Source organism: Homo sapiens, chromosome 7 (genome assembly GCF_000001405.40).
Source record: "Homo sapiens chromosome 7, GRCh38.p14 Primary Assembly".
Classification (NCBI taxonomy): Eukaryota; Metazoa; Chordata; class Mammalia; order Primates; family Hominidae; genus Homo; species Homo sapiens.
Window position 1 is genome coordinate 51,723,414 of NC_000007.14, and position 14,335 is coordinate 51,737,748.

At 40.6% G+C, this 14,335-nt stretch overlaps 1 long non-coding RNA gene across 1 annotated transcript; it reads left to right on the forward strand.

Moving 5' to 3' along the window:
• The first annotated feature begins 482 nt into the window (after nucleotides 1-482).
• On the forward strand, nucleotides 483-3,790 carry LOC124901634 (uncharacterized). Its single transcript, XR_007060325.1, has 2 exons — nucleotides 483-3,330; nucleotides 3,431-3,790. It is a non-coding gene; the product is annotated as an uncharacterized LOC124901634 (long non-coding RNA).
• Nucleotides 3,791-14,335: the final 10,545 nt, after the last annotated feature.

Below are 14,335 nucleotides of genomic sequence, written 5' to 3' on the forward strand. Positions count from 1 at the left end.
ACCATTGGTAGGGATGTTCCCACTTTCATTTCTGATTTCAGTAATGTTAGCCTTCTCCTTTTCTTAGTCCATTTAGCTAAAGATTTGTCCATTGTTGTGAATTTTTTTCAAAACAACTATTGGTTTTGTTGATTTTCTCTATTGTTCTTCATTTTCTATTTCATTTATCTCTGTTCCAATTTTTATTTTTTCCCTCCTACTGGCTTTGGCTTTAGTTTGTTCTTTATCAGTTAAATTGTTGATTTGAGATCTTTCTTCTTTTTTAATGTAATGGTTTATAACTGTAAATCTCCCCCTTCCCTTTCCTTTCATTGCATCTCACAGTTTTAGTAGGTTGTGTTTTTCACTATTATTGTCTTGTCTCAAGATATTTTATTTCCATTTTGATTTTTCTTTGATCCACTGGCTTTTTGAAAGTGTACTTTTAATTTCCACAAATTTATAAATTTTCTGGTTTTCTTCTGTTATTGATTTCTAACTTTATCCTGTTGTCATTGGAGAAGATACTTTGCATGATATCTATTTTTAAAAATACATTGATACTTAACCTGTGGCCTAACATATGGTCTATCCTGGAGAATGATCCACATGCAATTGAATGTACTTTCTGTTGTTGTTGAGTGGAATGTTCTACATATGTCTGTTAGATTTCATTGATTTATCCCTTTATTGCTTTTTTCCATACTTTCTAAACTGTATATTATAGTATTCAAGTCCTTTTGTAGTCAGCTTCATAACAAGGTTTTCTGAGACTCATATCTCACTAAACCCAAGCTCATTTTATGTGATAGTCACATGGAATCAGTTGCCGGCCTGCACGCAACATGCCTTTTCATCCGTTATTGTCTCTACCCACAGTATCCTTACTTCATTCTCTACTCAGAACTTCCAATGCTTCTTTCAAGACTCAGAACAAAAGAGGGAGAATGTGTAGACCTCTACAGGCTTCTTTGGATTCCCTTCCTCAGCTCCTTTCGCACTCTGTGTCACCTACCTTATGTGTGTATCACACTGGATTGTAAATGTTTGAAATGTCCATACCTTTTAGACCTAAAAAAATTCTCAGTGCCAATACTAAATTGGCTACATAATTAGAAAAGATTCATTTTCTGAACTGAATTACAGAATTTGGCAGCCATTTCATGGTTAGCTCCCTAAATGGCCACCCTCAATTGGTGAAAACTTCCAAGGTAGAGACAGTACTCAATCAATAGAATTCTCATTGTTTCTTCTCTGTCCACAGCTCCCCACAGCCCTTATAACACAAGGCAGACACTAAATCACTGCATAAAAGTGGAAAGAATCAAAGGCTGAATCTCCATCCTGTTATCTTCTCTACTCAAAGCTTCTGTGGACATGCACGTGTGTCTTCTGGTTTTCCTGCCCCCTTGATGAAGGACAAATGGTGTTTCCATTGCTCATTGTGTTCAAGGAAGGAGGGCTTAGTTCTGCGAGTTTCTGGGGTTTAATTTGATGAATTCATCTGCTCATTGCTTACTGATTAGAAATTTCTGTCACATTGTAGGATAGCAGAGAGTTCAAGATTATTGGGACTATGAGCATATCATTTTTGTTCCATTTAAATTGCTATGAAATGGAACATTAAGCTTGGCATAGATCACGTTTCAATATCATTCTTAGCTGTCTGAAACTTGCATAATTAACCATCGTAAAATTTGGTCAGCTATATAATCAGTCAGCTGCAAAAGGACACCACGAGCAAGGGAGCATCATTGGAGCCATGGCATATATTGTATGCTGTGGACAAATACTACTTAACATAAGAAAGCACACATATGTGCAGGACAATCTTACTTCATTGTCTCACAGGACAAACCCAACTGCTCTTCAAAACGGGTCAAGGAAAGCAAGATGGAGGAGTGCCACAAGATTATACTTATGGGAAGAGACTGGGCATGTTCAGGGTGGTATGGGTATGGACAAGACTATATTTTTCATGAGTTAGTGTTGATGATGCATGTGCTGCCAATCTTTCTCTCCCTCCTTGGGGCTCAGATTCCAAAAGGTATACATGACCGATTTTGATATTCATGCTAGCTACTTTCTGGTAAAATATGGTGAGAAGCAGGGAGCCAGCTGGAAGTTTTCATTGATTTGGAATTATCTGTAGTATCAAAAAGACAGAATCCAGATGTGCCTGTCATTGTTTAATTGGTCTTTCCTCTTTTGTTCTCCTTATACCATCCCCTGCCATGAGTCTTATCTCTATTTCTGTTACATGAGGGAGCATCCTAGCTTCCATGATGTCCTTTCCTTTCCCTCCTTTCAGTAGGTTTGCAGCTTAGTTAGGGTCAATCCCTGCTTCTGATTTTCATGTGACATGGAAACTCTGAATAAGAAGCCCTAGTAAAACTTGGCTCTTGTGATAACTCACAACATTACATGTGTGTTATGTCCTGCGGCCTGGATACTTCTTGCTATCTACTCTACATAAATGTGAAGCTTAGCAAGTAAAGCAACAGCAGCTTGTTATTTCTCAGGATTTTGTGGGTTTGCTGAGCTGAGCTGAGCAGATCTTCTGCTCCACTTGGTGTCAGCTGGGATTGCTCTTGCGTCCACCTTCAGCTGAAGGCCTGGTTGGGTCTGGCACTTTCAGAACAGCCTCTCTCACATGCCTAGCCATTGGTGTTGTGTAAGAGCTCACTCTTAACAGTTTCTACTTGCTTCCTTAGACAGTAGTGACAGGGGCCCAAGAGAGTAAAAGCAAATGCTTTCAGTCCTGTTAAGGGCTAGACCTAAAACCTGCACCTGTCCAACAACTCACAAGTTCAACCCCTATGTAAACGAATGGAAAATAAACATAATTCCTTGACAAAGGAGGAGCATTCACACACAGAGGAGGGAGCAGTTGTTGGAGCCCATCTTCAAAGACCACTGACCACACTCCGGTTCAGTTCAGACTTCTCACAAACACCCTTACAGGGTCCTGTGGACCACTAATCCCAGGATGCGAATTAGAAAGGGAAGAGTGTTAGGGCTGGCTGTGTACGAAGCCTTCACATGCTTCACACCCAAAAACTCAGGATGAGGTTGAGCCCCTCTTCCTTGAGCTGCCACCCTGCCAGATGTTGCTTCCATTGCAACATGAACAACACTAATTGCAAAGAGTTTACTGGGATATTTTTTGAAAGAGGACCTAGTTTTCACTTTGATTAAACTTCTTATCCCAAACCACAGGTTTTCCCTTTATCAAGAAGACCTGAAGCAAAGAGAGGGTGGTGATCTGTCCAGGTAAGGAAGCTGCTCTTACCTTACAACTTTCGTGGTATTGCTTGGCCCTTCTAGTCATCAGAAACGCTCTTTGCTTAGGTAAGTTGTCCAGTTTCTCTTGGCCTCTTTTCTCATGTATAAAATCAAGAAATTTGACTTATATCCTGCAAAACTATGAAAAACTCATTTTATTTTCCAGGTTTCACCTTAACACCGTAGTCAATCAACTGGATGTTTTTGTTCAAAGTCTTCATCCAGCTAACTTTGACCTCAATAGAGAAACATGGGAGATGACTGGCTGAATAGTTTATTTTTCCCACAAATGCTTTAGCATTATATAGACATGGATGTAGTGTGTCCTCAGGCATCATAAGGAACTGACAATTTTTGGTTTTGAAAAATGAACTAAACTTGTCCCGATAATTTTGCCTGGCACTGCAACTCAATGAATAATTCAGCTAATTTACACCACAGTCATTTGTACATTATGAGTGTACACGCTTTGAAAGTATTTCTGTACCTTTGTCATATTGCCTATTAAATGTGTTCTGAAAATAGATACCATGTGTGAATGTAAGTCCTTGTTTAAAGAGTATGTGAATTGACACCGTGGGACCTCGTGAACAATCTTTGCCACTTCTACAGATTATTTTTATATGGCGATGGCTAGGAAACAGACTCTCCTTTTTAAAGGTTTTGAGAACAAACTTCTCTCAAGTTGAATATATATGTCTGGACAAGAATAAGTTTCTTGGTTCTACAGTACTGTTAAACTTTGTACTTATGTCTTTATAATCTATCAACTGTTTAAAATTTTTAGGGTTAGTTTAATAAACATCCTTGAAGTGTTCACACTAGTTAAGGAATTCTGTCAGCTGCTCCCTCCTGGGGGTGAGAGTGAGTGGGAGAAGGTGGTGGCAGAGAAAGGAGAGGCATTGCTGACTCCAGCCCGGAGCTCAGGGTCCTGTTGATTACTTTCTATTTCTCTGTCCCAGGGCGTCTGACACAGAGAAAGTGCATAAGATGCAGGAATGAATCACTGAGTGCCTGGGCTTTCTTATCAGAACCTGTACAATTGGCACAAGTACAGAACTAGTTTCTCCTTGGACATGTTGCCTACTATGTACACACATGTCAAATATTTTGTTCAAAATGTTTTTTCTTTTCCATGCTGTCATTTAGTATTGAAAATTAACATCTGTGTCATATTGTAGGTGACATGTAACATTTTTGTTTTGCATCTATATTTTCTACATTATATGTGATTATTTTGCAATAAAAATGTGATTGACATATTCACCAAAATTATCCTGACATCAACTAGCAAACATGCCTGCTGATATGTGGCCCCAATCTGTGTCATGTTCTCCGTAGCCAGTATCTACAGCAAGGTTTTCATAGAGATTTTCTAAGTTGCTTTTTTATAGGCTGCTATTTTTTCTGACTTTGATCTTTATTTATTGGTACAAATTGTCCCTGACTTACCATGGCTGGACTTACAATTTTTCAACTTTACTAAGAGTTTATTGGAAGGTAACGCCATCGTAAGTCAGGGAGCATATGTACCACAATTGGTTCAGCTTACTATTATTTGACTCTACAATGGCTTCATTGAAGTATTGAATGCATCTTTAACACACTTCATTTTCTTCTTATGGTGGGTTTATGGGATGTAACCCATTCAGAAGTTGAGGAGCATCCATATATCTAAGGTGTTCTTACTCATGGGAATATGCTCGTCACTGTGCAGCCCCTTCATAGAGTTCCAACAAACTATCCACAATGCAATTTTAATACTGTTTTCAGAATTATTTTGTATATCTGGACATAAGTCAATTTTCACAGAAAGAACATTTAGATTATCATAAATTGGGCCTTTTCGTATTTAATTTCATACAGAAAACATAATGCATTGCAATAAACTTGCATCTTAAAATCACAAAAGGCCATATTCTCAACCCCCTTTTCTCTTTTATTTAGGTCAGATTCCTATCAGTGTGGCTTATGTAATAAAATCTGTTGTTGCCACAGTCCTATGTCACTCTTTCCAATAACCTACAGCCCATCAGTCTCTCTGAGAAGGCTGCCCTGTAGCAAATCATTAAATCCTTTCAAGAACCAAGAAAACATGGAAAATAAATGCAAAAGGAGAAGATAGCTTAACTCAGGCTGGTGTTTGCATGATCATGGAAACTCATGTTATGTTGTTTGGAATTTTGAACAGGGAAGTTGGAGGATGGAAACGTGCAATCCTCTTAGATGGTGAAACTAACTTGTATCAGGAATTTATACCAGGTGCGGCATTGAACTGAGCTGGATTTCCATACAACAACCTGGGAAGTGAGCCTGCCAAGAGGATGAACACCTAGATAATGGACCTACAGTTCACTCAGACTCAAAATAAGGATTTAGGCGAGTGTTGTGTTGCTACTATTTGTTTTCAGTTACTCCCACAAATGGACAGGTAACCACTCAGCTAGAGATCCTAGGGTGGCTGAGAAGGACGAGGAAGGCACAAAAATCCCTGTGGGGATGGCCAAAAGAGTTTTCCCATGGGCTCTTACACTGAGAACTTTACTCCTTTATAGTCTGAACAGCAGACAGCTCAGAGGTCAAAGGAAACTGCCCCTTCTGTGGAAAGGACTCCATGCATGTGTCTTTGTGCCTCTTCCTGGTCCTTCATCTCTGTCTGTGGGTACCTTTCTTTCCATCACAATCATCCTCTGGATCACATACTACACAGGACTCATAAGGGTGCAGAGGGTCAGGGATGCTGGAAATGTCACCCAACAGCAAGGTGATAGAGTTCCGGACAGAATTTGAATGGTACTTTCTATGGCTCATGTCTCTCGGTTTTCTGCAGTCCTTGCTGAGTTTCTTAATCCAGTGTCTGGAGACCTCCAAGGTCAAATGCATGCACATTTAAATTTAAATTCTAGGTGTAAATAAAGGTAATTTCTAGATTTGCTTCCATCTTGATTTTCCATGTCATAGTTCTATTCAATTAGCATAAGTAACTCAGAGGTGACAGTCATGTAGAGAATGTACTGATGGGTGATTTTGATTTTTGTTATTTTCCTACAGTGTTAAAGACCTGGAAGCTTTTTAATAATAGTAAAAAGTGCGCAACCAAAAATTATTGTGTTTTTTTTTTTTGAGAAATGATGCCATTATTTCACATGAATGCTCTACTTAAAAATAGAGGTAGAGAATCCAGGGAAAAAAAGACCCAGGAAGGTAACCTTTAATTTGAAATTGGATGCATTGTGATACTTGTGCTGTAAAAATCTGATGGTATATTAATGTCCTCACATATATTATCTGAAATTGTACCTTTCCGTTATAATGGCTGTTCCAATAACATAATAGCCACTCACCTGTAATTATAAGTTTTCAAAGCCTGAAATGATTCCAGTTGTTTTCTCTGTACTTTTCATGTACAATGGCTTTGTGCAGCTACAAGTTCCAAAAGGCTTATTTCAACTTTCTCTGTTTCCATCTGTTGTATCATGTTGCAGTTTAAATTAGAGTTGGGTGCATACAGAACCCTGGGGAGAGTACCAAGGGCGTTTTCCAGATGAAACTTCAACCTTGAAGACGTCAGTGACGTGTGTCAGCCACCCCAGCACTCACCTACACACATCGAAGTCCCATTTTCCTTTTTAATGGATTTAGCTCAAATCCTGTGCTTCTGTGTCTCATAATGAAATATCCCCAGGCCAGCCCTCATTTGAGCCCATGAACAGCCCCTTAGAAGGGGGCAGCTTCTGTGGGTAGGGAAGTGAGCTCAATAACAACGTCTTCGCCAGGCTGGAAGGTTTCCCTCTTCCCAGAGCACATGTCAGAAAAAAGATGGGAAGGAGTCTTTATCAGTTTCATAACCCTTTTCCTCCTTCACCTGATTTCTGCATATGCCCCCAATTCTGCAACAGGAAAAAGTGGACATTCCAGAAGAATCCTGGAGAGAAAAATGGGAAGGGAGCTCTGTCCAGGTACCAGAAACTCTCCCCAGGAGGTCTCTTGGGGCTCAAGCAGCTTCCTGAGTATCCCCAGTAAAGTCGTATGAAGTGATGTGGGGCAGGTTGAGGGCTGGAAGGAGGGCAGACAGGACTTTTTTGGTGTGATTAGGTGCGATGAAAAGGTTTAGCTTGTGGCACTAGCATGAGACAACAAGTATTGTTTCCCTGTCCTACTGAGAGTGGGTAATATGCATATGGGTGTGCAGGCACACACACTGCACATACATGCACTCACACACAATCACACATGCATGCACACAGGTGCTGAATATTCCATGTAGCTAAGTTCAGCTGGAGCTACAACCAAGGACTCATTCCCTTTTGACTGTCTCTCTTGACTACAGTGTCAGATATGGGGTTTGATTCTGCACTTAGCTGGAGGGATGGCTCTGGGTACTTCTTTACTGAGCCCCAGTTTCCTTCATGTAAAATAAGATGATGATCCCTACTTTGTAGTGTAGGGACACGGTCTAACAGTGCACACTCAATATCAGCTCCTGCCTTTAGAAGAACCTGTAAATGTGCGGGTCTTCCCCTTTTGTCCTGCTAGCCAGCATTTATGCAGAGGAGCTACTATTTTTCATGTTAATGCCTCTCTTGCAGAGTAGTGGCAAAGAACAAAAGAGGGAATGAGTTAGAGCTCCCAGCACCCTGTCAGGCTCAACAAAAGTAGGTTTATTTATTTAAAATTATGATCATGACTCAATGAGCACACTGGGAGGGCCTGCAAAGCATCCTAACTCAGATCATGCTGGCTGGTTACATTGGAGGCCAGGGGCGAGAGGGACTTCGTGCTATTATTCTATCACTCAAAAAAGTTGAAACTGCTATTCCTTTACCTCAGCCTCCCCAAACCAGTCATGCTTTCTACTGCAGGCAGAATCCCAGATTCACTTTGGCTTTTTGTGAGAAACTTTGAAGATCTTCTTGCAAAAACATTTAAAACACAGAAATATTTTCCAAAACTGAAGTTGAATCATGCTGTCCCTTTGTTTTATTGCTTGATTTTTTTTTTTCACAACACAGCATAGACTGACTTGTTCCCGTGTCAGTGCTACATTCTAGCTCATTCTTTCAAATGGCTGCATGGTTTTCTATTATATTTCTAATATAATGTATTAACTATTCCTACATTGATGGATGATGTGTTTCTAGCATTGCCAGGAACCTTGGAAGCTGTTGATGAGGTGCAATAATACTAATCAGGTGTCACAGATTAGGCAGCCAAACCTGGCCCCACCTAAGTTGCCTTGTTGACCACTCTTTGAGGGTCTCAAAGTCTGTTTCTCCTTCTGTGGAGAAAAGACTTAGCTCAATAAAAAGAATTAGTCCCAGGTTTGTAGGAGGATTAAAATACAATAATGTTTTATCAAGAGCTTTGAAAATTAAAGAGCAAAGTGTTGTTATATCATGACTGATCACAGCTAGTTTATTTAATAATGACTCCATTCTTTTTTCCAAACTTGTCACCTGAAAACGGGAGAGAGAGTGTTCAGAATAAACTGAGCCTTTCTAAGGCAGGCATGAAGTTGAAGCAAGCCTGGCTGGTGGGCATGTTGCTAAGTGCCCTTGGCAGCTCGAATTGCTCAGAGCACTCCTGCCTCTCCCATGGAATTCTGCAGCCCTGGGTATGTGTCTGCCCAGGGCTGGCTTCAGTCAGTCCAATAGGCTTTCATTCCCCAAGTGAATCAATACCGAGAGAGTGATTTTCAAAGGGCTCAAGTCATTTGTAGTCTATCTGTATCCAGAATGTTATTTCAGCTTCTTTCCCACAGAGCAAATATCACCAGAGGGAAGACCGTATCTTTTTCGTATCTACACAGAAAAAAAGGGACAGTTTAGCACCCTCAGTAAAAGATACAAAGATTTGAGGGTTTGGGGAGTTTTTATGTTTTCTTCCCCTGAAAATTTAAGAAAAGTAAAGCCAAAGGGCAGAGATGACTGGAATGGCAATTGCAGTTCTTTTCTGAATTTAGTACATGCTTGACATGGTAGACTTTCAGCAAGACTGAATACCTAGTAGGGGCTAGTCTTAGCTAGTTCCTTGCTGTCTCAACAGACTTTGCAAGAACAATCATTTTTAATTTCTCACTATCCTTATGATGAGTTTTAGGCAAAGAACATAAAATCAGCATGCACACACCTGGATGAAAAGTAAAATCAATTAAACACAAGATAATTTTGTCTATATGATGCCATGCAGGCCTGTGAATTTTTATATCCCACATCTATTGACCAACTTTTGCATTTTTATTAAAAGAGTAGAAACAAATATTGACAGACACATAATACAGAACTAGGCAATATTTGTATAATGCTTCTTTTATTTTGTACTGTAATTCTATAAGCATTTTACAAACCAACATTGTGAGCCTCAGTGTGATTAAGCAACTTGCCCCTCAGTGAAGAGATAGGAAGTGAACAGTGTGTTTTAAAGCAATTCTGTCTGGGATTGGAGCAAGTTCTCCTTCCACCTAAGGCCACAGGAGGGCCATGTTGATATAGACACAAATACAGTTCAGCTTGTGTCCTTGCCATTTCCATTTTTATTCAGACTGGTAAGATCTGAGAAGTGCTCTTTTGTATTATTTTAATTACTTGTTGGAAGATGCACATCTAAATCTCTTTTGAATAAACATAGCTGCATACACAACCAAGTCACCTTCCCAAGTCTTAAGAAAATATGTACAGTTCTGTGTTTAACACTATTGCTTGTGAGTGTACTATTCTTAGCAAGAGTCCTGTTGATAGGAAGTATGCTTGATTTTTAAATAGCAATGAATCCAGCTGCCTAATAGTTTAGAATTTTAATAAGAATTGAAAAACCTGGGCATTTCTTGAGCACCAGGCATTTTCACATATACTCACTGAGTTCCTATGCCCTGGTGTATTAATCCATTTTCATACTGCTATGAAGAAATACCCGAGACTGGGTAATTTATAAAGAAAAAAAGAGGTTTAGTGGACTCACAGTTTCACATGGCTGGGGAGGCCTCACAACCATGGTGGAAGGTAGAAGAGGAGCAAAGTCACATCTTACATGATGGCAGGGAAGAGAGCATGTGGAGGGGAACTGCCCTTTATAAAACCATCATATCTCATGAGACTTACTCTCTATTGCAAGAACAGCACAGGAAAAACCTGCCCCCATGATTCAATTACCTCCCACTGAGCCCCACCCACGTGTGTGAATTATGGGAGCTACAATTCAAGGTGAGATTTGGGTGGGGTCACAGCCAAACCATATCATTCCAGCCCAGCTCCTCCCACATCTCATGTCTTCACATTTTAAACCAATTATGTCTTTCCAACAGTCCCCCAAAGTCTTAACTGATTTCAGCACTAACTCAAAAGTCCACAGTCCAAGGTCTCATCTGAGACAAGGCAAGTTCTTCTGCCTATGAGCCTGTAGAAAACAAAAGCAAGTTAGTTAGTTCCTAGATACAATGGGGGTACAGGCATTGGGTAAATACAGCCATTCCAAATGAGAGAAATTGGGCAAAACAAAGGGACTACAGGCTCCATGCAAGTCTGAAATCCAGGAGGGCAGTCAAATCTTAAAGCTCCAAAATGATCTCGTCTGACTCCATGTCTCACATCTAGGTCATGCTGATGCAAGAGGTGGGTTCCCATGGTCTTGAGCAGCTCTGCCCCTGTGGCTTTGCAGGGTGCAGCCCCTCGGCCTGGCTGATTTCACAGGCTGGTGTTGAGTGTCTGAGGCTTTTCCAGGCACACAGTGTAAGCTGTTGGTGGATCTACCATTCTGGGGTCTGGAGGACAGAGGCCCTTTTCTCACAGCTCCACTAGGCAGTACCCCAGTGGGGACTCTGTGTGGGGAATCCCACCCCACATATCCCTTCCACACTTCCCTAGAGGTTTCTCCATGAGGGCTCTGCCTGCTCTGCCTAGACACATAGACACTTCTACACATTCTCTGAAATCTAGTGGGAGGTTCCCAAATCTCAATTCTTGACTTCTGTGCATACACAGGCCCAATACCACGTGTAAGCTGCCAAGGCATGGGACTGACACACTCTGAAGCAATGGCCCAAGCTGTACATTGGCCCCTTTTAGCCACCACTGGGATGCAGGGCACCAAGTCCTGAGACTGCACAAAGCAGCAAGGTCCTGGGCCAAACCACAAAACCATTTTTTCCTCCTAGGCCTCATGGCTTGTGATGGGAAGGCCTGCTGTGAAGATCTCTGAAATTTCATGGAGACATTTTCCCCTTATCTTGGAGATTAACATTTGACTCCTTGTTACTTATGCAAATTTCTGCAGCTGTCTTAACTTTCTCTGCAGAAAATGGGTTTTTTTTTCTATCGCATCGTCAGGCTGCAAATTTTCCAAACTTTTATGCTTTGCTTTCCTTTTAAACATAAGTTCCAATTCCAAACCATATATTTGTGAATGAATAAAACCGAATGCTTTTAAAAGCACCCAGTCACCTCTTGAATGCTTTGCTGCTTAGAAATTTCTTCCACCAGATATCCTAAATCATCTCTCATGTTCAAAGTTCCACAGATCTCTAGTGCAGGGGAAAATGCTGCCAGGCTCTTTGCTAAGACATAGCAAGAATGACCTTTGCTCCCATTCCCAATAAGTTCCTCATCTCCATCTCAGACCACTTTGGCCTGGACTTCACTGTCCATATCATTATCGGCATTTTGGTCAAAACCATTCAACTCATCTCTAGGAAGCTCCAAGCTCTCCCATATCTTCCTGTCTTCTTCTGAGCTCTCCAAACTGTTCCAATCTCTGCCTGTTATTCAGTTGCAAAGTGACTTCCACAGTTTCGGGTATTTTAATAGCAGTACCCCACTCTACCAATACCAATTTGTTGTATTAGTCCATTTTCATACTGCTATGAAGAAATACCTGAGACTGGGTAATTTATAAAGAAAAAAAGAGGTTTAATGGACTCAGTTTCACATGGCTTGGGAGGCCTCACAATCATGGCAGAAGGTAAAGAAGGAGCAAAGGCACATCTTACATGGTGGCAGGCAAGAGAGCATGTGTAGGGGCACTGCCCTTTATAAAATGATCAGATCTCATGAGACTTACTTACTACCACAAGAACAGCATGGGAAAAACCTGCCCCCATGATTCAATTACCTCCTTTTGGTCCCTCCCATGACGTGGGGATTATGGGAGCTACAATTCAAGATGAGGTTTGGGTGGGGACACAGCCAAGTCATATCACCTGGTGTTATTTACACCAGCCTATTTTAATGATGCAGAAACTGAGGCTTATTGGGATGAGATAATTTGCCCAGTGACAGTTAGAATGAGGTCCATCAGAGCTAAGAATTTAGTCTTTTAAATTTAAAGCTCATACTGTAGTATGCTCCTTGTCTTTCTCTTGCGGATAGAGTGAGTTTTGAGGTTTATCTCTTTAAACACTTTAATTATATTTAACAGCTTTGGTGACATATAATTCACATACCATACAATTCATCCACTATGTACAATTCAGTGGTTTTCTGTATATCCACAGATATGTACAACAATCACACTGTCAATTTTAGAAGATTTTCATCACTTTATGATATGGGTTGGGTGTGTCCCCACCCAAATCTCATCTTGAACCATAGTTCCAATAATCCCCATGTGTCGTGGGAGGGACCTGGTGGGCAGTAATTGAATCATGGATGCAGTTACCTCCATGATGTTCTTGTGATAGTGAGTTCTTACAAGATCTGATGGTATTATAAGGGGCTTTCCCCCCTACCTTTGCTCTGCACTTCTCCTTGCTGCAGCAATGAAGAAGGACATTTTTGTTTCCCCTTCTGCCATGATTATAAATTTCCTGAGGCCCTCTAGCCCTGCAGAACTGTGAATCAATTAAACCTCTTTCCTTTATAAATTACTCAGTCTTGGGGGTGCCTTTATTAGCAGTGTGAGAATGGACTAATACATTTTTTAAAAACTTCAGTTTTTACAAGTGAGAAAATTCAGTGCAAAGGATTTGCTCAATGTTATACATGGGAAAATCTTTGTTTTCTATTATGTTCTAATTTTATAATGAATGACTAAATAAAAAAGAGCTAAAAAATCACAGCATGGATTGCTTGCTGGGCTACAGCCATTGATATTCATGTTCTGCTCTGGAAGGAAGCTTAGGATATGGTGGCATCAGACTTGGGCTAAGCTGGAGGCTGGTGCTCTGTTTTCGTGTAGGTCTCACCAGTTAGCTCTGGGGCATCTTCTCTCTGCACCTTGGTTGCTTCATTTGTAAAAGGATTTTGTAATACTCTGACCCCACCAGTGCCTCTGCCATCCCAGCACCTGTTCAGTTATGATGTGCTCATGATTACCTATTCAGTGTTGCTAAGTTCCAGCTTCTTTACATTCATAGTTTCCAGACCCCTGGCATCTGTGAGATGGTCACTGCTATTACTGAATTATAAATCAAAAGTCCCCATTCAGTGACATAACACTGACTTTCCCAAGTCTTCACAAACAGAAAGTGATGGAGACCGAGTTTGAACAATCCCAGGATTGTGTCTACATTACATTAAAATAAATAGATTCTAGGTATCCAGATAAGAAAGAAAGAATCATTCAAATTTGGTGAGGCAACAGGGTAGGTATTCGTAAACTATTTACTTGGTTTTTTGAGTCCCACTAGTAGGAACATAATACATTTTTTTAAACATTGGGAAAACAAGAGTACCTATGCTGTTTCACAGGCTTGCACCTGAGTTAATTGTGAATACACAGAATGACTGTAATGTCCAAAAGGCTTTTTGTGTGTGATTGAAACATGTTGAACACTTAAGCTAGATGAAAGGGTTATTTGGCATTTACCTTTTATCTCTTTTAGCTCTCTTGTATGAAGCTTCTTATTTGATTGATGTTTGGCTGTCTGCCATGTGGCTGTGGATCTTGATAACATCACAACCATTTGGGTAGACTCTGTGTTCTTGGTTCTAATTAACTGAAACACACCAGCCTTGACTTCAAGTTCCATTACCCCTTGCACTTTGGTGTGCAGGTTTGCCCCTGCCTAGTGGGAACTAATCAACCAGCCAGCATATGTGCTGGGCAGACGGGCTGAGACAGGCACGGGTTGTCTTCTCTT